At 45.5% G+C, this 19,747-nt stretch overlaps 1 protein-coding gene and 1 pseudogene across 2 annotated transcripts in view; one reads left to right on the top strand and one right to left on the bottom strand.

Annotated features, from left to right (window-relative positions):
• STX6 (syntaxin 6) overlaps positions 1-7,501 on the top strand; it is a 50,146-nt gene extending 42,645 nt beyond the window's left edge. For both annotated transcript variants that reach the window (NM_001286210.2, NM_005819.6), the window contains one exon: positions 3,580-7,501. In NM_001286210.2, the coding sequence (NP_001273139.1) occupies positions 3,580-3,656 (77 nt within the window). In that variant the 3' untranslated portion in view covers positions 3,657-7,501. The remainder of the gene's footprint in view (positions 1-3,579) is intronic.
• MR1P1 (major histocompatibility complex, class I-related pseudogene) lies at positions 10,864-15,710 on the bottom strand (annotated as a pseudogene).

Genomic DNA, 19,747 nt, shown 5'->3' with positions numbered 1-19,747 from the left:
TGTTTTTTTTTTTTTTTTTGAGACAGAGTCTGACTCTGTCACCTATGCTAGAGTGCAGAGGTGCGATCTCAGCTCACTGCAACTTTTGCCTTCCAGGCTCAAGTGGTTCTTGTGCTTCAGCCTTTCAAGTAGCTGGGATTACAGGCCTGCGCCACCACGCCCAGCTAATTTTTGTATTTTTAGTAGAGACAGGGTTTCACCATGTTGGCCAGGCTGGTCTTGAACTCCTAACCTCAAGTGATCTGCCTGCCATGGCTTCTCAAAGTGCTGAGATTACAGGTGTGAGCCACCTTGCCCAGCCCCATCTCTTTTTTGATGAGGTGTCTGTTCAGGTCTTTTGCCCATTTTTAAAATCAAGCTGTTAGTTTTCATACTGGTGAGTTTTAAAAATTCTTTGTATAATACATTCTGGACAACAGTCCTTTATCAGATGAATCTTTTGCAAATATTCTACCCCAATCTGTGGCTTGTCTTCTCATTCTTTTGACAGTGACTTCACAGAGCATAAGTTTTTAATTTTAATGACATCCCAATTTCAATTATTTATTTCATGGATATATAGTGTCTTTGGTGTTGCATCTAAAAAGTCATTGCCATACCCAAGGTCATCTAGGTTTTCTCCTGTGTTTTCTTCCAGGAGTTTGATAATTTTGCATTTTACATTTAGGTCTGTGGATACATTTTGAGTTAATTTTTGTTAAGGTGTAAAGTCTGCCTCCAACTTCATTTTTTTGGCATGGATGTCCAGTTGTTTCAGCACCATTTGTTGAAAAGACTCTCTTTGCTCTGTTGTATTGCACTTGCTCCTTTGTGAAAGATCAGTTGACTGTATTTATGTCAGCCTATTTCTGGACTGTCTGTTCCATTGATCTGCTTGTCTATTTTCCTAATACTACATTATCTTGATTGATGTTATGGTAAGTCTTATAGTTGTTCCACATTTCTGGAATATTCTGTGCCAGGTTTTTTTTCAGTCTTTTTTTCTTTTTTCAGGTTTCTGTTGACAAATTGTGAAGCTCAGAGATCCTTTCCTTAGCTGTGTTTAGCCTACTAATGAGCCCATTAGGGGCATTCTTCATTTGTGTAGTCTTTTTGATCTCTATTTTTTTCATTCTAGAATTTCCATGTCTCTGCCTACATTATCCATGTGTTCTTGCATGTTGTTTACTTTTTCCATTAAAGCCTGTAGCATATTAATCATAGTTTTAAAAATTCCTCTTCTGATAATTCCAACATTCCTGCTGTATCTGACTCTGGTTCTGATGCATATGCAGTTTCTTCCTACTGTTGCTTTTTCCTTTAGTGTGCCTTTTACCTTTTTGTTGAAAAGTGGACATGATATACTGGGTAAAAGGAACTGTGGTAAATAGACCTTTACCATAGATGGGGTGGTGAGGCCGGGGGGTGGCATTTTCTAGTCCTGTGATTAGGTCTTAGCCTCTGGTGAGCCTGTGCCCCTGGCCCGTGAACTTCACTAGTGCTTCCCAGTTTTTCTACTGTTAGGTGGAACTGGATGGCTAGAGAAGACTGGAGTTGGGTATTTTCCTTCCCCCAGGTTAGTCAGACTCTGGTTAGTTTCTTTTGAGGGCAGACTTTGTTTAGAACAGAGTGCTCTGGAGTATTTCGTAGTGATTCTTTTTCCCCTCCGCCTGCTGGAAGCATGAGGGGATTTTTCCCAATATTCGCTGAGAACCTGGTCAAGCTCCTGGAGGTAAAACCCACAGAAGTGTGGGGGTCCCCTTCGCCTGGGTCCACCTGGAGTGTTTTTGTTTGTTTGTTTTTCATCTCAGACTTGTCCACACTGAGCCTTCAGCGACTCATCAATTAAAGCTAAGGTTTTCCTACCAGAACACTGGTTCCTATGGAGTTTGTTGCTTCGTGGGTTTCTGCTCTGATAAGCTGTGATTCTCTGTATGCATCTGTAGGTTTCTGCAGTTTTAGGGGCAGCAGTTTACCATGTGACCTCACTTCTCTGATGGATCTAAGAAGAGTTTTGCTTTTTCAGTTTGTTCAGCTTTTTACTTGTTACGACAGAGTGATGACTTCTAAGCTTCTTACATACTTGGCTGGAAATTAAAAATTTAACATTTTTAATCAGATGAGAGAATGCCAGTTATAAAAGTTTTCTTGACCATTGAAGTAATAGTTAAACAGGTCAAAGTGTGACCTGCAGTAGGCCATCTCTGCCTTCCCTAGACCTTTGGAACAGTCCTACCTGAGAACAACGAGTGATGGACCTGGGGTCTTTGTCCTGCTCAGAGTTAACTAAATGAGTTTCTAGTATGTCTGAGGTAGACCAAGGTGATCACCACTTAGAAGGTACTTGCTTTACTTATAATTTGGTGGCAGTTCTCTTGTCCAGTTCTAAGACTTTGATATCCATAATATTTAAAATAATTTTAAGTACATGTTTTGCCTTGTGGAGAGTTTAGCAGTTTATTTTCATAGATTGAGATCTTTTTGCAACGTGATTCTCAATAACTATAGTGTGCTAAAATCAGTGGGCTTTCAAAGAAACTTTAGTGAATCAATATGTCTTTATATTTCTATTTAAATGGAACTCTTATTCCTAGTGGTTGTACTGCATTTTCATACGCTAGTGAATTCTGTTATCAGTCGGGCCCTTTGTGGAAGATGCCAAAACTCATCAGTGGAAGGACTGCTCATTTTTTCTACATGTCTCCAAATTAAGGAAGCATCCTGATGTTGACAGCATCCTCTGTGCCCTAGGTTTGGGTATTGCACAGTGTGTGTATGACAGGGTTGTGTTGTTTAATTCTCACAACAGCCCTGCGGGGCAGCTGTTGTAGAGTTGGGACCACAGGATTGTGAGCTGCAGCAGGGCTCCCCCAGGGCCTGTCTGGGCCCTTCTGTCTCACAGGGCCTCCCTGCTCTCAGCCATTTGGATGGACTCTAGTCAAGTTGTTTCCTGTGCCTGCTGTTCCAAATTGTTGGTAGGGCAGAAAGTTTCAGAAAAAAAATTCCACTTTCATTTACAGAGGAGCTGTACAAGGTACTTTAACACAGTTACTAGTTAAGTAATCTTACTTGACTAGGTGTGGTGTGAAATTAATCATGCTGTCTCACTGGAGCTTGCTTTTTCAGCTGTATATTTCCTGAAGTGACCAGCAGTAGCTTTCATCTCCTTTCCCTCCTCCCGTTGTGCTCATTGAGAAAAGAATGTGATTATTGTTTAATTAAATGACTTGACTTTTATGGGAGATTAAAGCAGGCAGGCTTTGATCTGTAACACCATTGCCAACACCTTTTTTGAGGATATGCTAACTACCAGCAGAAAGCTAAGATCCGCAGATTTTAATTAAAGACTTGAGACACAAAGCATGTAATTATTACGAGACATTTTCAGGGGACTGGCAAAGTTGTGACTGCATGCGAAGTGCAGGCCAAGAACAGAGCAGCATTAGAGCATCAGGCACCTAGGCAGGTGTAAGATCATGGCCCCGTCATTTGCACGTTCTGCCCCTTTTCTGCTTCAAAGGGTGCCATAAATTCCATATAACTGTATCTTGGGGAATGTGGAGTCCCTGTGAGAGCTAATCCCCATGTCCTGCCTTCCAGATCGGCGCCAATGGTGTGCCATAGCCATCCTCTTTGCAGTCCTGTTGGTTGTGCTCATCCTCTTCTTAGTGCTGTGACGGCGGGGCCTCTGGGTGCGAGTTCCTCCTGCATATGAACCGAGGGGAGGAGGAGAAGCTGAGCACGTGTGACATTGCCGTCTACTCACATTCCTATCCTGGAAACATACTGCTGCACTGACTTTTCTCCGTGTGACCCCACAATTGACATGGCTCCTCCATCCCAGCGCTGGAAGGGCCAGTGGGAAGAGGAAATAGATGTCTGCACTCCTGGCTGCAGCTGGACAACAGAAGCCCCATGCCGCCTGTCCAGTTCGGAGGAGAACTAGCTGCTGCCTTGCCTTCCGGGACCTCGTTTGCTGAGGAGGGACTTACAGACTCCACTGGTGTTTTGCTGTTGCTCATTCCATGCATCTTTGGCAGCTCTTTTCTTCTGCTCAGACCCTTCCCCGTGCTCAGACAGTGCACCGCTGTCCCATCTAAAGAAACCTGTCAGGAATACGAGCTTCTGGGTATGTTTCGTTTCCCATTGCTGTAGCATTTCTTATCCCCTGAGAGCTGATGATTATTGAGGACAGAAGGCTCAGAAACAGTTTGTGACAGAAAATGCAGTGTTTCATTTTTCAGGGATAAATGCTAAGATAAAATTGCTTTTCCAGGTCATTTTTTTTTGTGGTAAGAATAACTAATGGAAAATAATGAAACACCCTGGGGTTTGGGGGTGCTAACAACTTGTGGCTTTAACTGACAGGAGCAATTAAAAAGAGCAAGAGGGTTCTGCATTGGCATAGCTTAGGGAAGGGTTAATGATGTCGCCACAGGTCAGCTCCTGATCCTTGCCGACTTGATGTTGCTGTACCAGGGCTTCCTCCCCAGAGGTGCAGCTTGCGTTTTGAGGGTGATTGCTACATATGTTGTTGCTAAACAGCTCAGTAACACACTTGAATGAATTTGGATACCAGATTGTCCTCATTACAGTTCTTTTACTCTTAGGGCACTCTACACTGGGGGTTGGGGTTGGGAGTGGTTAGTACATTTATTACATTTATTAAGAAACGTAATGACATAAAAGGTTAGCTCTGGGCCAGACTTCTCTTACTCTGTGGGTAATGGCAAGGATGTGTAGGTAAACTTGGTTCTTTTTTTTCCCTAAGATGACAGCTTGATTTTATCATCTGCAGTCAAATAACTGAGCCAATCCAAATTTAAATGATAGATGCTTTAATTGAGTTTAAGTAGCTGAAACTGCTGAGACACTAAACTTTAACCTTCTGATGACTTTTTAAAATGCCTCAAATGTGCACATGTATATAGGATATTTTTATAACTTCCCTGATGAATAATCTGATATTAAAGTAGTATTTGGACCCAGAGCCAGAACTCGGTGGTGGAGGCTGCTGGTCTCTCCTCACCACCTTCTTTTGCACTTGGAAAGAACAGCAACATCTGGATAGAGTTCTAGCTTTGACTTCTCATTTCCTTGTCTTTTTGGGTGCATTCCTCAGCACACTTTTTTTTTAAACCTTTTTGTTTTGTTTTGTTTGTATTTCATGTGGTTTTATTTGGGGGTTTTGGTTTTTTCACCCTTTTTTGTGATTTGCAATGATGTGCTTGCCCAGCTAACTTTTGAATTGCACTTTTTAATAAATATTCTTAACAATTTTTGAAGAAGGATATTTTATCTCATTTGAGATCATGGTAGGTTAAGAAAATATGCCTGTTGATGAAAGCTAAAAGCAAATTTATGAAACTAAAAGGGTGATTGACATCCATGTTTACACTCCGCTCTAATGTTTGATATATAAATAAGTTATTTTCAAATTAGGAAAAAACAGTGAGTATTACAAAGGGCTTCAGATGTTTAGAGTACTAGGTTATTTATGTTTTACAAAGTTTGAATCTTCTATAAACTAAGAAAGGGGATGATCCTTAGATTTGCATTAAAATATAGAAGTCTTTTAAAGTAAATGTGAACCTTGTCTAAGTACTGTAATCCACACAACACATTATAAGAAGCAAACCAGCATCTTAAGGAATTATAAAATTACCCTATTTAAAAGCCATGCTATTGTTCTGCTATTACCAGATTTATTGTGCCACACAAAAGGATCATGTGTGTCAGCAGGGGCCGTTTGGAACAAACCTAGTCATTAATGAGTAAGATACTCCTGTTAGTTCAGGGACCAAGTTTTATGACCCAGAGGCTTAATGATGTTTGGATATATTTCAAATCGGCGTGCTTACCTCACTGATTTAAATTATTTTCTAAATAGTGGCCATTGTAGACCTGACTCAGGCTGAAGCTAAATAGAGAACAATTTAGAAAGTTAACTAACAATACAGTGCATTCTACCCGTAGGGCCACCATGCCCTTCTGCCCCTGGCTGATTTGATCCTGTGTCTGATCCCATTGCACCCTGACTGGGCAGTCCCTACAGAACCAGTGTTAATTTGAAGGGCCTCCACTCAGGCTCCAAATGTGGCAGCCAAAGAGAACAATCCAGGGAACCTACATTTATTTTTAAGGACAAATATTTCCTCCTCAGTGGTCCTAATGTTCAGGGCTTTAGAGGGAACCCAGGTGGTCTCTTCACCCTGTGTCCTAGAATGGGAGAGTAAGTAGACAGTGGTGATAACCCCACACTGCTTATAAGTGCATCTTTATAGTATTTGGGGCTTTCCTACCCCTTTAGCCTTCTGTACCTAGTACCATATTCCAGTTTTAAAGAACTGGCAGAATGTGATGGATAACAGAGGAAGAGCTCAATTTATGTTTATTGGAAGAACATTTTACTTAAATGATTTGAGGGGTGGGAGGGAGTGAACTACTGAGTTTGCCAGAGTGAAAATCCATCTGAAAAACTCAGCTACCTTTAGTTTTTAGTCCTCATTTTTGGTCTTGTCTCTGCGGACTGTGAAGAATCACAATGCTCTATATGCCCTGGACTGTGTGGCAAATGCAGGTTGCAGCGTGTGTGTTACATGAGGATCTTCCACAATTTCAGAATGCACGCCAGAGCTGAAGGGGGAAACTTGGTAACTTGCCCATTATTCTCTGCTTTTAGCCAGAGTTAAACAGACTGATGGGTCTGGTAGCCAACAACTTGGCAACTTCCACTCCTTCTCACCTCGTGAGATTAAGGGCTGTGAAAAGAAATCTAGTCTAACTCCAACAGAAATCTGTCTCTGTTAAGTGTTTTACCTTCTGTAAGTAGAGATGGTAGAGCCAAGATTTTTCTTTTGGTAATTTCCCTGTCTATAAAGTGAGACCAAAGGGATATCTGTTCCCTGTTACCTTTTTGGAGAATTCATAACATTTGAAGATCAAAAAATTGAATGATAAATATGAATGGCTTTTCAATTCTGTGGACTTTGTACCATTTGGCTTCACCTTGTACTGCAAGATGAATTTGTAAACAAAACAAAATTGGACTGTCTGGAAAGCTAAAGTTCTGAAATATGGAATGTACTGCCTCTAATTTTTCTTTGTCTTCCTCTCACTGGCATTTTTTTCTCTCCCAGGTTTCTTAAGAATAATGTTTTTTAAAGGAGGCTTTTTGCCCATCAAGAATAAAAAGAAATAAAACCAAAGGGTTACCGGACTTAAGCCCCCGCAGTCACTGTGCGCCATCCCTGAGCAAAGTCCGCCCCTGAGGACAGTGCCCCTGCCCCAGTGACAGGCCTTACTCCTCCCAGGGCCTTTGCTTCTAATAGGGGGTGGTCTTTCTTTTCTTTCTCTCCTTTTTTTTTTTTTGATTAAAAAATAAAACCAAACCAGAATTTGCTGAAAGCAGGTACCTTTCAGTAGCTCCGATCAGAGTAACTCAGCTTAGAGATACTGTTACTCAGGACAACAGTATGTACAAAAGTCTCCGGAAAAGGAAAATAAAACAACCTGAAAAGAATTCAACTTGAAAAGGACTGAATTACTAGAATGATCATATAGCAGAATAACACAAAATGCAACAAAGAGCCACCCAAGCCTGAGGGTAAGACCTCTACTTCCCAGATTCTTGGATCATAGCCCATGACTTCTTGGGGCACAGAGGCTGGCTTCAGCATGAGGATCTCACCACTAACTGCATGTAACTCATCCATGCCTTGGGCAGAGGCTAAACACACGGAACAAGGCCACCAGACAGGTACACATGAACCCATGAGAGCGGTGCTCTCTGTAGAGTCTATAGACCTGGCAGGGACCATGGATAGCTTAGAGGTACTTACTCTGCAGCTGGTCACATAAGACCCTAGACTGGCCAGGCGCGGTGTCTCACACCTGTAATCCCAGCACTTTGGGAGGCCGAGGCGGGCAGATCACGAGGTCAGGAGATCGAGACCATCCTGGCTAACACGGTGAACCCCATCTCTACTAAAAATACAAAAAATTAGCTGGGCGTGGTGGCGGGTGCCTGTAGTCCCAGCTACTCGGGAGGCTGAGGCAGGAGAATGGCGTGAACCTGGGAGGCAGAGCTTGCAGTGAGCCAAGATCGCGCCACTGCACTCCAGCCTGGGCGACAGAGCCAGACTCCGTCTCAAAAAAAAAAAAAGACCCTAGACTGACCTAAGCCCTACAGTTCCCTTATCCAAATTCCCACTAACCAGTGAGAGAGAGGGACAAGACTTGGAAGCTGCCTCCAAACCAATTTTTGGTCTACAGTAAACAAGGATAAACATAAAACACCATTCCACAGGCCAGCTTCAAAAGAACTAGTGTGCAAAGAAGGTGAGAGATCCCAAAGCCCCATTTAGTAACCCCCACCGAAGGAGGGGGATGGGTGTGGGTGGTGAGATGGCCTGTTCTGCTGCTGTGGGCACCCCTGTGACCTGTCCTGCTCTGCCATCCGGCCTTAATTCGTACAGTTACCCCCGCTTCCTAGATGTGCACTCTCATGGCCCAGAGCTCTCACCTTTCTGAGCCTGAGCCTCCCGGCCTCCAGCGTACACAGAGTGGAAATGCCAGATCCTAAGGGTTCTCTGAGGAGGGTGAGGTGGCAGTTTTTCTGAGAACCTGGGGTCCTTCCATGCCACAACAGTTGTAGGTGGGGCAGGCCAAAGAGGATGCTGAGTTACTGGAGGCAGAGAGCAGTCGGTCAAAGAGCAGGGAGGAGAATACAGCTGGGAAAATGATGAGAAGTTTCCATTGCATGGACTCAGCAAGCAATTTCTGGGGTCACCTCAGTTATGAGGCGTGAACAGCAAAGCTTTAAAACTGATGTGAGAACAGTGTGTCTCCCTTTTTCCAAATTCCCCAGAGGAACACTACTCCCTGCTCTGGAACTTCACATCAAAGAAACAATACACCTGATGGGAAGAAGTCTTTTCAGGACCCCAGAAGTGCCCATTGGAGGCCCATCAGAAAAGTCTGGCTGCTTCTCGTTTGTGGGTCCGCACATTTTGGGCAAGATGGCTAGAGGGCTGGAGGTTTCCCAAGGCCTCTAGATGCAGTTGTGCAAAATCAATCCTCCACAAATCACTGGCCCTTGGTAGTATGCTCGTTCCACCACCCACTGGAAGTGAGGAAGATCTTTTTGCTGTCAGAGAGGGCTGTCCTTCACTAACACCATAAATCTGCTCCCTGGCTGCTGGAGTGCACAGGCCAAGGGGGTCTTGAAGATCCTCGTGTCAAACTTGAGTGTCAGGCTTGCAGTTGGTTTCACCGTAGATAACCCTTGTTGCCCTACAGCTTGGGTAACTGTTATTGTGTCTTGACCTTTTGCTCTTCCTCTTCCTTGTCTGAACTGCGTTCCCTTCTTAGATAAAGGACAACTTTTATGTTTATTTTCTTCGTCCACTGTCATGTCACCCACTTGCACAGGAGTCCCACCTTATCTGCGGTTTCACTTTCTGAGGTTTCAGAAATGGGTTGCACTGGAAAGCACTGTGCCTATACAAAGATTTCAGCAAGGGAGTTCCTATGTATATAAGGGAAGAAACAGTTTATCTAGTCAGTACAATCTGTGGTTTCAAGCATCCACTGTGGGTCTTGGAATGTATCCCTGCAAAAAGGCGGTGGGGCAGGGGGCACTTCTGTATACTTCAAAACGTGCACGATGAAAACATAGTGTTATCTGTCAATCTGAAAACAAAATCGCCATGACTTCTGGGCACTGTAGTCCTACCTGTGGACTGGCTGCCTGACTGTGGAGCGTCCTTGTATTGGACACTGAGGGACTAAGATGGCGACTTCTCATTTGGCAGCCTGTGGCAGCTGAGTTTGAATTTGGTGGTGGCCGTCGCATGTTAGGGTAGCCATAGAGCTGCTCGCTGTCAGCCGGAGCAGCAAGCACAGTTTCACTTGACCCATTTTACACCTGTTGTCTCCACCCAAGCACCATGGCTCCAGTTAGGAAGGGCAACCGTTGGGTGGCCAAGAACAACTTGTTACGGAGCCAGAAGCTGACCTCCTTTCTTAAGGATTTCAGCTGTGAAGTGCAAATACTATGGAAGCCAATTCAGTCAGGCAGAACCTCTCCCAGAAGATTGATAAGATGCATGACCAGGCCACTCAGCGGCTTCCTGAGGCACAGTGTGACATGAACTGGTAATGCACAGACTGTGCATTCGTAGCTGTTTCGTGAGTAATATGCAGAGTGTGTGTCTTGGGTATTTTAAAGTACGTGAGAGGGTTGTTTCAGCAGCTGATGGGATGCCAAATGTTTGACTTTTTATTATTCCAGCCCTTCAGATTTCCCCAGAATTGTCACCTTGTAGAGCGTGTGTCTTCCCAGTGTGTTCCAGGAATTCTCTATACCACTGTCGTGTTGCTCAGAAAACAATAGAGCTCTCAGTCAGTTCAGGTAACCTTAGAATCTGCGCTGATGCCTCAGAAAGGAAGAAAGGCCAGGACGGCCTCGGGGGTGGCACTCTTATTTCTCCCTTGGTTTCACTTCCTTTTCCATTTTTTGTGGCTTCCCACTTCATCCCGCAGCCTCCTCTCATAGGCTGTCCCCCCTTACCCCCACTCCATTCTTCCCACTCTCTAGCCCATTTGTGTCCTCAGAGGTCTGGCTGCTGCCACTGCACCTGCCTCAGACCCAGTGTCACCTCGCCAGGGCTTCAGCCAGCCTGGCCTTCCAGCTGCCACCCAGCAGCGCAGCAACTCAGAACCTTCTGGCCCAGACCTTCATACCCAACTCCCGCCCAGGGCAAATACAGAAGCCTCTGCTGGTGCAGCCAACACGGAGTGGGGAAAAAGGGGAGAGGAAAAGCAGCAGCTTCCTGTGCTTCCCAGCTCAGGGCATTGGTAAGAGTGGATGGAATTTGGCATTCTGCTTCTACCATTTTGAATGAATTGGCCTATTCTTTTATACCATCACCCCTCCCTTCCAAATCATTCATTCTGGTGTGCAGCCCATTTCTGTCTATTTTCTAATGAAATGACCAGAGCCACCATGTAAGCTTGTGCCCTGCACAAGGATAGATACCCCACTGGGGAACAAACGGGACCAAAATCCACTCTGTGTTCTGCTGGCCAAGCCGGGTGACCTGGCCTGGGCTGGCGTCCTCCCAGAAGAAGGGTTCATTTTTCCAGTTTGCACACATGTGCTATTTGTGGGTTAGCTGAGGCCCTGCTCATGTCTTCGGTTGGTTCACAAATCAGAAACAGAACAAATGGCCAGAGATTAGTGTTGTAATCAAACTAGATTTACAACCAAGGCACGCTGAGTGGCATTATGGGTTTTATCCTGCGGCATGGCAAGCCGCTCATGCACAGGCTGTGCTCAGTGTCCTTTTTCCTCAGCCATGCCAGCCATGGGGAAGCAGGAGGGGAGCTTGTTGGAGAAGGCGGCCTCAGTGAGAGCCTTGGTGCATTCCCCTGAAGCCACAGTTGGGGGCTTCTCCTTCAGCAGGGGTCCCCATAGTCTGAGTGTTTTCAGAAATCTTAGGTCCAAGGGACCCCCAATTTTTTTTTGTTTGTTTTTTTGTTTTTGAGGTTGAGTCTCACTCTGTCGCCCAGGCTGGAGTGCAATGGTGCGATCTCGGCTCACTGCAACCTCTGCCTCCCGGGCTCAAGTGATACTTGTGCTTCAGCCTTCTCCCTAGTAGCTGGGACTACAGGTGCATGCCACCAAGCCCGGCTAATTTTTGTATTTTTAGTAGAGACGAGGTTTTACCATGTTGGCCAGGCTGTTCTCAAACTCCTGACCTCAAGTGATCCACCCACCTCAGCCTCCCAAAGTGCTAGGATTATGGGTGTGAGCCACCGTGCCCAGCTGATGGGACCCCAAATCTTATGTCCAGGCCCCAGGGTCTGAATTCATATTTAACTACTGAAAGGCATCAGCATCTCCTCTCTGGTTGAACTTGACCTTCTTACTGAGAACCAGCCAGGCAGGCATCAGAAGCCTCAGGCTACAGAGGAGAAGCTGGTGGGCAAATAGATCAGGAGCAAGTGCTTTCACCATCATGGATGAAAGTTGAAGGCCAAGAACACTTCCTTGTCCTGTGGTGCAGGGGTTGGGATGGAGGGGTGAGTCTTATAAATGGAAGAGAACTAAGTATTGTGATTTCAAGGAAGAACATCTGTCCCCTGCCCCCAAATACCCCCAAACCCGCCAAAATTCTACAGATTCATTTGGCTTAACTCCTCTCACAGAGGTAAGCTAAGGTAGTCAGTCTCGCTGTGGTTGCAGTGAATTTGTTTAATGATCTTGGTTTCCTAACTGCTAGATAATCCACTGGAGCCAAAGGAGTTTTGGTGGATTGAGGGAACCTACAGAGGTTGGGTAGGGGTGTGTTAGGAGTTGAATTGTTTCCCCCAAAAAATTCATGTTGAAGTTGTAACCCCCAGTACCTCAGAATGTGGCATTCTTTGGAAATAGGGTTGTTGATTTAATTTGGGAAGGTGAGGTCATCCTGCAGTAGTAAGGTGGGCCCCTAATCCAGTATGACTGATGGCCTCATGAAAAGGGAACAGAGCCCTACAGTTTACACAGTGCTTTTATGCACGTTTTTCCTATCCATTTCTGTGGGGTAGGCATTATCATACCTGTTGATTTTACTCTAGTTTATTGCTTTTTTGGCCTACCATCTGTTAGCCTCACTTTTTCTAACAACAGGAACCCCTTCTGCCAAACACACAACATATTTTGGAAAGTTACCCTACCCCATTCCAACATGTGCTTGTGTTGAGAGGTACCAGTCTTAATCCTCCTGCCCAGCCCTAGCCTAAAAAAGTGTGTGTGCTGGTTAGGCTCTCCCCATCAGCCCCCAGCTAATCTCTTCTCTGCCCTTCCATGCCCCAGGAGGCTATACGCATCAGATTGCACTTCCAGAGCCCCCGGCCTCTGGTTGGGCTTGGCCACTGCGATGAGCATCCTCAAAAAAGACCAGAGAGCTGGAGGAGAGAGAGGCTGGGGCTTCATTCCCCAACCCACCTCACTGCAGTCCCGCCAGGGGCCACGGTCACAGCTCTCACAAGGAGCATCCTCTGCCAGGGTAGCAGCTCTTGCCGGACTATGATAACAATATTCTCTTTTACCCTTCAGCTCTGGTGGAGGTAATAGCTTCCCTCTGTCACACGTCTCTGGACACTTCACCATCCCGTACTGGTTTCCTCAGTTCTGATTATTCCCTTACAGATGCTGTCTGTTGAATTCATTTAAACCATATTGAGTTGTACCATTTAGTTCTTGCCAGGACTGTTAGCTATGGCTTGTCTTAGAGGCTTATCCTGATGGTCACGGTGATTAGGCCCAGAGGTACCACATGATCCAACGCACGTCAGAGTCCTCCCGTGACTTCCTTTTCCTTTTAGTAACCAGAGCTGGGAGAGAGACACCCATTCTTACGGAGTGGTGAAGCGATGGAGGATATGAGCTTTGTGCTGGCAGCCACATCCCTACCTCTTGGATAAAATCATTCACATCTTGGTTTTGATCTCTCGGGTCCCCACACTGCCCTGATTCCCACCTTTAAAATAGCATCCCACTTTGTGCTTGAGCCGGTTTACATAGGTTTCTGTTACCTGCAACCATTAAGAGATAGTTTTTCAGCTAGTGAACAGGAGAGTCGAAGCTCAGACTCCAGGCATCTGCCTCCAAAGCCTGTACTTTTAGCAGATGCTCCATATTCATAACTGTGGCCAGACACCTCCCCTGCTGTTGGCCACAGCTGAGAAAATCCCTCCTACTCCTGTGAGGAAAGGCACGTGTGTCTGGGTATTTCCCGTAGCATGATACAGGGGTAATTCATTTTGAATAATAAGATCATACATGAAAAGTTCTGTATTAACTGAAAGTTGACCAATTGAATCATATCTTTAAGGTATAAGAAGAGCTCTTTGCTGGAAGGAATCTTGTCATTAGTCCTTTAGTAAAGCAGAGACCCTCTGTTTGTCCTGTTAAATCCAGATTTTCACTCCTACTGGTGGTGTGTGAGCCCTTTGTTAACTAAACAATTTGTAAGAATTGCTCCACCTCCCAAAGAATTTCCCAGCTTATTGATGGAATGGAAGAATTTGCCTCAATGGATCCCCAAAAACAAGGTGCCCTTGGAGGTACTCCACTCTGTCAAGACAAGGGGAACCGCCAAATCTTGTCAAGATGCCGCTCAGAAGTAACCAGAGGGCTCAAAAGTTCGCAGGGGGCTCTAGCCATGAGATCACTACAGGCCAACTAAAGAGATGGCTTCAGGATAGGGTGAATGTAACCTAGATTAGAGGATTTATGAAACAATTGTTCAGGCAATGCAGGAACAAGGCCTCCTCTCTTTACCTGTTCTTTGTTGGGTGTCTTTCCCATATTCCAGGAATCTCTTTAGCTAGGCAATACATTCTTCTTCCAGCCAGTTCTTTTGATATTGCAACTCATGCTGATTGGCCTCCCGTGCCCTCTTGATGGTGTGAGCCACATTATCTACAGCCAGTCAGGAGAGGGTGTCTTTATTGAAGATCAGGAAATTCTGCCCATCATATGCATACTGCAGAAATCCTGTAGTGCTTCCATCCTCCAGCAGCTCACAGCCAATCATTCTCTGGTAAGTGTGAGACCCTGGAACACACACGCAAGCCCAGAGGGGTCCACACAGAGACAGAGGTGGGCTCTCAAGTGCTGGGAGCAGGGGCATGGCTGGAAGCATCCTTTGGTCTACGTCACCCCACAGGCCTGCTGTGGCATCGCTAAGTCCCCAGGAGGTCCCTCTTTGGAAGCCCACCTGACAGCAGGGTTGTTTTTTAAATTTTTTTTGGTTCATATAGCTTTAGGGATACAAGTAGTTTTTGATTGCATGGATGAATCGTGTAGTGGTGAACTCTGGGCTTTTGGTGTATCTGTCACCCAAATCGTGTATGTTGTACTCAGTAGGTGGTTTTTTTCACCTCACCCACCTTCCACCTTTCCCCTTCCTGAGTCGCCAGTGTCCATTATACCACTCTGACAACAGGTATTTGTGAAGTACCTACTGCATGCCAAAGGAGTGTGATAATTCCCTTCTTGGGGAGTTATCCTGTAATGGGAATGATTGATTGATAAACTGTGGCTATTTGAGTGCAGTGGAGGAGGGAGAGAGATGCAGGAGCTAGAAATATCCCTGGGAAAGTTAATGTCATTATGCATAAGCAAGCAGGTCACTAGGCCTGGCTACCAAGAAGTGAGACACAGAATGGGCAAATTTAGAATGGGAAAGGAGATGGGGATATGGGGAAGGGGGATGCGGCAGAGGATAAAGGGCTCCTGGGGGAGAGAGGGACAGTCCAGAAGATGCACAGGCAGATGGGACACTCTGAACTACACCAACCAGATTTCCCAGGTTTTGCCAAAAGCCACAGCAGGTGCAAGTCAGCATTGCTCATTGGAGGTCAGCCCAGGGGCCTCTGTGGGGTGAGGGAAGCGTCTGTCTCTGCTGCATGCACACCTGAGTGATTGTAGTGTCTCTGCTGGCGCTTCAGTTCCACCCTGAACATCTGCTGCCAGCCCTTCAGCAGCTGAGTGTACCTCTCCCAGTGATCAGGCACGAGGTTCTCTGCCATCCATGGGGCCCGTGGCTCCTTCTGCTGAGTGACACTGTCATATGTGGTGATAGGGTGCGAGTCCACATACCCAACTGAAATAAATTCAGGGACCCCATGGATGGGATCCGAAACGCCCAGGCGAAAATATCTCAGAGAGTGCGTCCCTGGAAAGGAGGCAAAGAAGGAAGACATGTAGGGTCCCAGATGATCCAGGTCCTTCAACTGCATTCATTTAGCCCCACACGAGTGCTCCCTGCTCAGCTGTACCCAGGCCTCCAGGCCCCAGCTGCCATTTCCTCTTACAGAACCCAGGAACCGGGGCCTGGACAGGACTTTAGAGCTCCAGACCAACGACTTGGAGCCTTTCTCGTTCAGGTTTGCAAATGCAGGATGGAATTTTATAGGTAATCTCAACTCATAAGCAAAGTACAGTGCAAGCTTGTCCAACCCACGGCCCAGGACGTCTTCGAATGCGGCCAACGCAAAATTTGTAAACGTTCTTAAAACATGAGGGTTTTTTTTTTTGTGATTTTTTTTTTAAGCTCATCAGCTATTGTTAGTGTATTTTATGTGTGGCCCATGACAGTTCTTCCAATGTGGCCCAGGAAAGCCAGAAGATTGGACACCCCTGGTAGAGAGTGCTGCTCTGGTTGTAGGGGGAAGGGAGAAGACACAGGGGGAGCTGTCCCTACGGGAGCCCTTGGGAACTCTGAGGTCTTGAAAACCCTGATAATCCAGCCCTCTTGTTTTACCAAAGAAGTCTGTGGGTGGATAAATGAGGACCCCCCACTCCACTTCTGTGTGCACGTGTGAGCACGCACACATAAGCACATGCGCATATACACCAGGTCGGTCAGAGCGAGATCCCTGTTAGGATTCAGGCCTAAGTGGGCAGGTAGCATCTATAGTGTGGAGATGTTGGACAAAGGATGATTCATGTTCTGAGTGGGACCATGTGAGATTTCTTCATGCTACCAAGAACAGTGAGCAATTTAAAACTTATGAATTGTGTATTTCTGGAATTTTCCATTTAAATTTTTGGAACCAGTAGCTGAAACCGTGGAAAGTGACAGCAAGGATAAGGGGCTACTACTGTCCATAAATTGTGGAATGGTTAGATCTAGCTTCCTAACAACTGCATAACCTCACATCATTCGCATAGAGATGATTTTTTTTTTTTTTTTTGAGATGGAGTCTCTCTCTGTCACCCAGACTGGAGTGCAGTGGTACGATCTCAACTCACTGCAACCTCCACCTCCTGGGTTCAAGCAATTCTCATGCCTCAACCTTCCAAGTAGCTGGAACTACAGGCTTGCCCCCCAACACCTGGCTAATTTTTGTATTTTTAGTAGAGACGGGGTTTCACCATGTTGGCCAGGCTGGTCTGGAGCTCCTGGCCTCAAGTGATCCACCCATCTCAGCCCCCCAGAGTGCTGGGATTACAGGCGTGAACCACAGTGACCATCCAGGATGGTCTTCCTTTAATGTCCAACTGCCTGCACCCAACTCCCAGCCTTAAAAAAAAATATGCTTATACTTAAAATAGTGAGGTCTTATTCTTGTGGGGCTCACATTGGTCTGCTGTATGTAAACAGGATGCCATTCTCACCTGTTTATTTGGCAATTAATTAAGGGCTCACGGGGAAACTGTGCTCTCTGGTGTTGAATCCAGAACAGTAAGAGAGTTTTGAGTAGAGGAGAATGATCCCTCAGCCCTGAACAGCATTGCTATGAATCTCATGACGGAAGCCCATGCTTGGTAACCCAGGGTGGAGGTGAAACTCCAAAACAGCTGACTTCTGTAGTTATCATCTTTAAGGGCAGACTCAGAGGGACTTGGGATCATTTAGCTCAGACCCTTATTAACCATGAAAACAATTACAGCTCACCCCAACATACATGGTAGCCATTTGGTGCAATGCATTTTGGACTTGGCCATTAGGAACTGCACCTTCTCTGGGACGACCCTAAGGTACTTACCTGGGGGCAGACTGATGCTAACTTGTCATGCGTCCTCCTCACCACTGGCGACTTGAAGTGTTTTGCCTTTTGCAAACACTGAAGCTCTGAAAGTTATAGTGGCACCTTGGTCAGGTTGTTGCAATCTAGATAAATTTGGGAGTTCTTTATTATATTAAAGTCTCTTTATTAATACAGATTGAGGGGAAGGGGAAGAGGAAGAAAGAAGCAGCTTGGTTTTTCTCTGCCATAAACAAACATGTTGGTGCTGTTTTCCTTCAGACATGCCCTTTGTGCAGAGCTGCCCTTCCCTGGGGCTGTGTGGGCGTTAACTGTGCTTAGACAGCGATTGTTCCAGCTGCCTGCCCTACTGCTTGGGTTTCACATGAACATTTCATGCAGTGCACCTGGTTTGCCAACTGCAGCCAGACTTTGTGCGAAATTGTATTTTACCACTTTTTAAAAGGTTATGAGCTGTCAAACCTGGAGGCCACTTGGTTATTCAGGGGTATGTTTGGACTAAGACCACCCGGGTTTGTTCTTTGCTGACCAAGGCCCTGTTCCCTGGCGTTCGTGGCAACCCAGCACTCCGCTCCAGCCAAGCTTTCTGTCAGCCCTGGGGTGGGACCAAGTTCAGGGTTTTTTCCTGCTCTGCAGAAAGCAGATTTTAGCTGAGATTGTCCTACTGAAAGACAACTGTGACCCTGCAGTTAAAGATGTCTTCATCTTTAGGAAAGTAGAGTATCTTTGCCCTCTCATCTGTGTGGGGCGAGGAGAGGACAGCCAGGTGTCCTGCTAATACGTTTTTGGAATTGCTTTTAGACTCCATGTGATTACTTCCTAACTGACACAGGCTGGGCTCAGCTCTCAACAAACAGACTTCAGAGAATGCTGGGGGTGAGGGGTGACCTAGAAGCCATCTAGGAAAGGGCCAGAGAAAACAAGCTGAAACCGATTATGGGTTCTGTTTCTCTAGCTGGAACTATCCTCTCATGGGCTCATTCGTAATCAGAAATTAGTGTAATTCAAAGACAGAATGTGTAATATGTGACAAAAGTCAGCAGGAATAAACCATTATGTTTTTTTCAAGGATAAATAACCTTATGGTGTTTTCATGTTAAATAACTAGAAGATACAAACCAAAGAAGTGGGATCAAGAATTAGAATTACAAATCCCTGGGTGGTTTCCAGATGGTGCCTGACTCCTCTACATAAAGAGAGGAGGGCCAGAACCCTAGTGCCATGGTTTACACTCCTCAGAAACAGGTAAATTTTTGTTTCCTCTGTATGGTGGGTCTCCAGGTGTGGTGTGGGACCAGCAGTCGCATCTCTGCATGGAGAACTTGCTGGAAATGCAAGGCAAGGCCAGCAGTGTGTTTCACCACGCCCTCCCGGGGGTTCTGTTTCATGTTCTAGTTTGAGAACCACTGCTACGTGGACTTTAGGTTACAGTAAAACAACAACCCCTACAAAATGAAACATTATCCATGGCTTTGATTGTCATCATAATGTGAAATAAAATATGATGACACTATAAACTTAGAACCCTAATCCCCCCAAAATACTGTGTAAAACAAAAAACTAGCCATCCTTAAAAGTAATATTTTTACACCATGAAGTCTCAGTTACTCTTGAGATATTGCAACTATATAAAGAATATTGTTCAACGTTAGAGAAGTGCAGATGCCATGAGCCTTGGCCTGGGTGTTTTTTTGTTTGTTAGGTTGTTTCTTAGTTTTGTTTTTAGTTCTTTTCATACCTAAGCACAGCTCCGTTCTTCTCCTCTCACCCCCTCTGATAAAAGACATGTGCATCTGCCTGGGGTAGGAAAAGTTTGTAACTGCTGGAAGATCTGAATTATAAATTGTGCTTTCTCTGGCAGAGCAAGTTATATGAATTCTTAAACCCCCGAGTAGCCTGATATGGTTTGGCTGTGTCCACATTCAAATCTCAACTTGAATTGTATCTCCTAGAATTTGCACATGTTGTGGGAGGGTCCCAGGGGGAGGTAATTGAATCATGGGGGCTGGTCTTTCCCATGTTATTCTCGTGGTAGTGAATAAATCTCATGAGATCTGATGGGTTTTATCAGATTTCCACTTTTGCTTCCTCCTCATTTCTCTCTTGCTGCTGCCATGTAAGAAGTGCCTTTCACCCTCCGCCATGATCCTCCCCAGCCATGTGGAACTGTAAGTCCAACTAAACCTCTTTTTCTTCCCAGTCTTGGGTATGTCTTTGTCAG

The sequence above is a fragment of the Homo sapiens genome, chromosome 1, assembly GCF_000001405.40.
Source record: "Homo sapiens chromosome 1, GRCh38.p14 Primary Assembly".
Classification (NCBI taxonomy): domain Eukaryota; kingdom Metazoa; phylum Chordata; class Mammalia; order Primates; family Hominidae; genus Homo; species Homo sapiens.
This window is presented reverse-complemented; position numbering and strand designations above follow the sequence as displayed.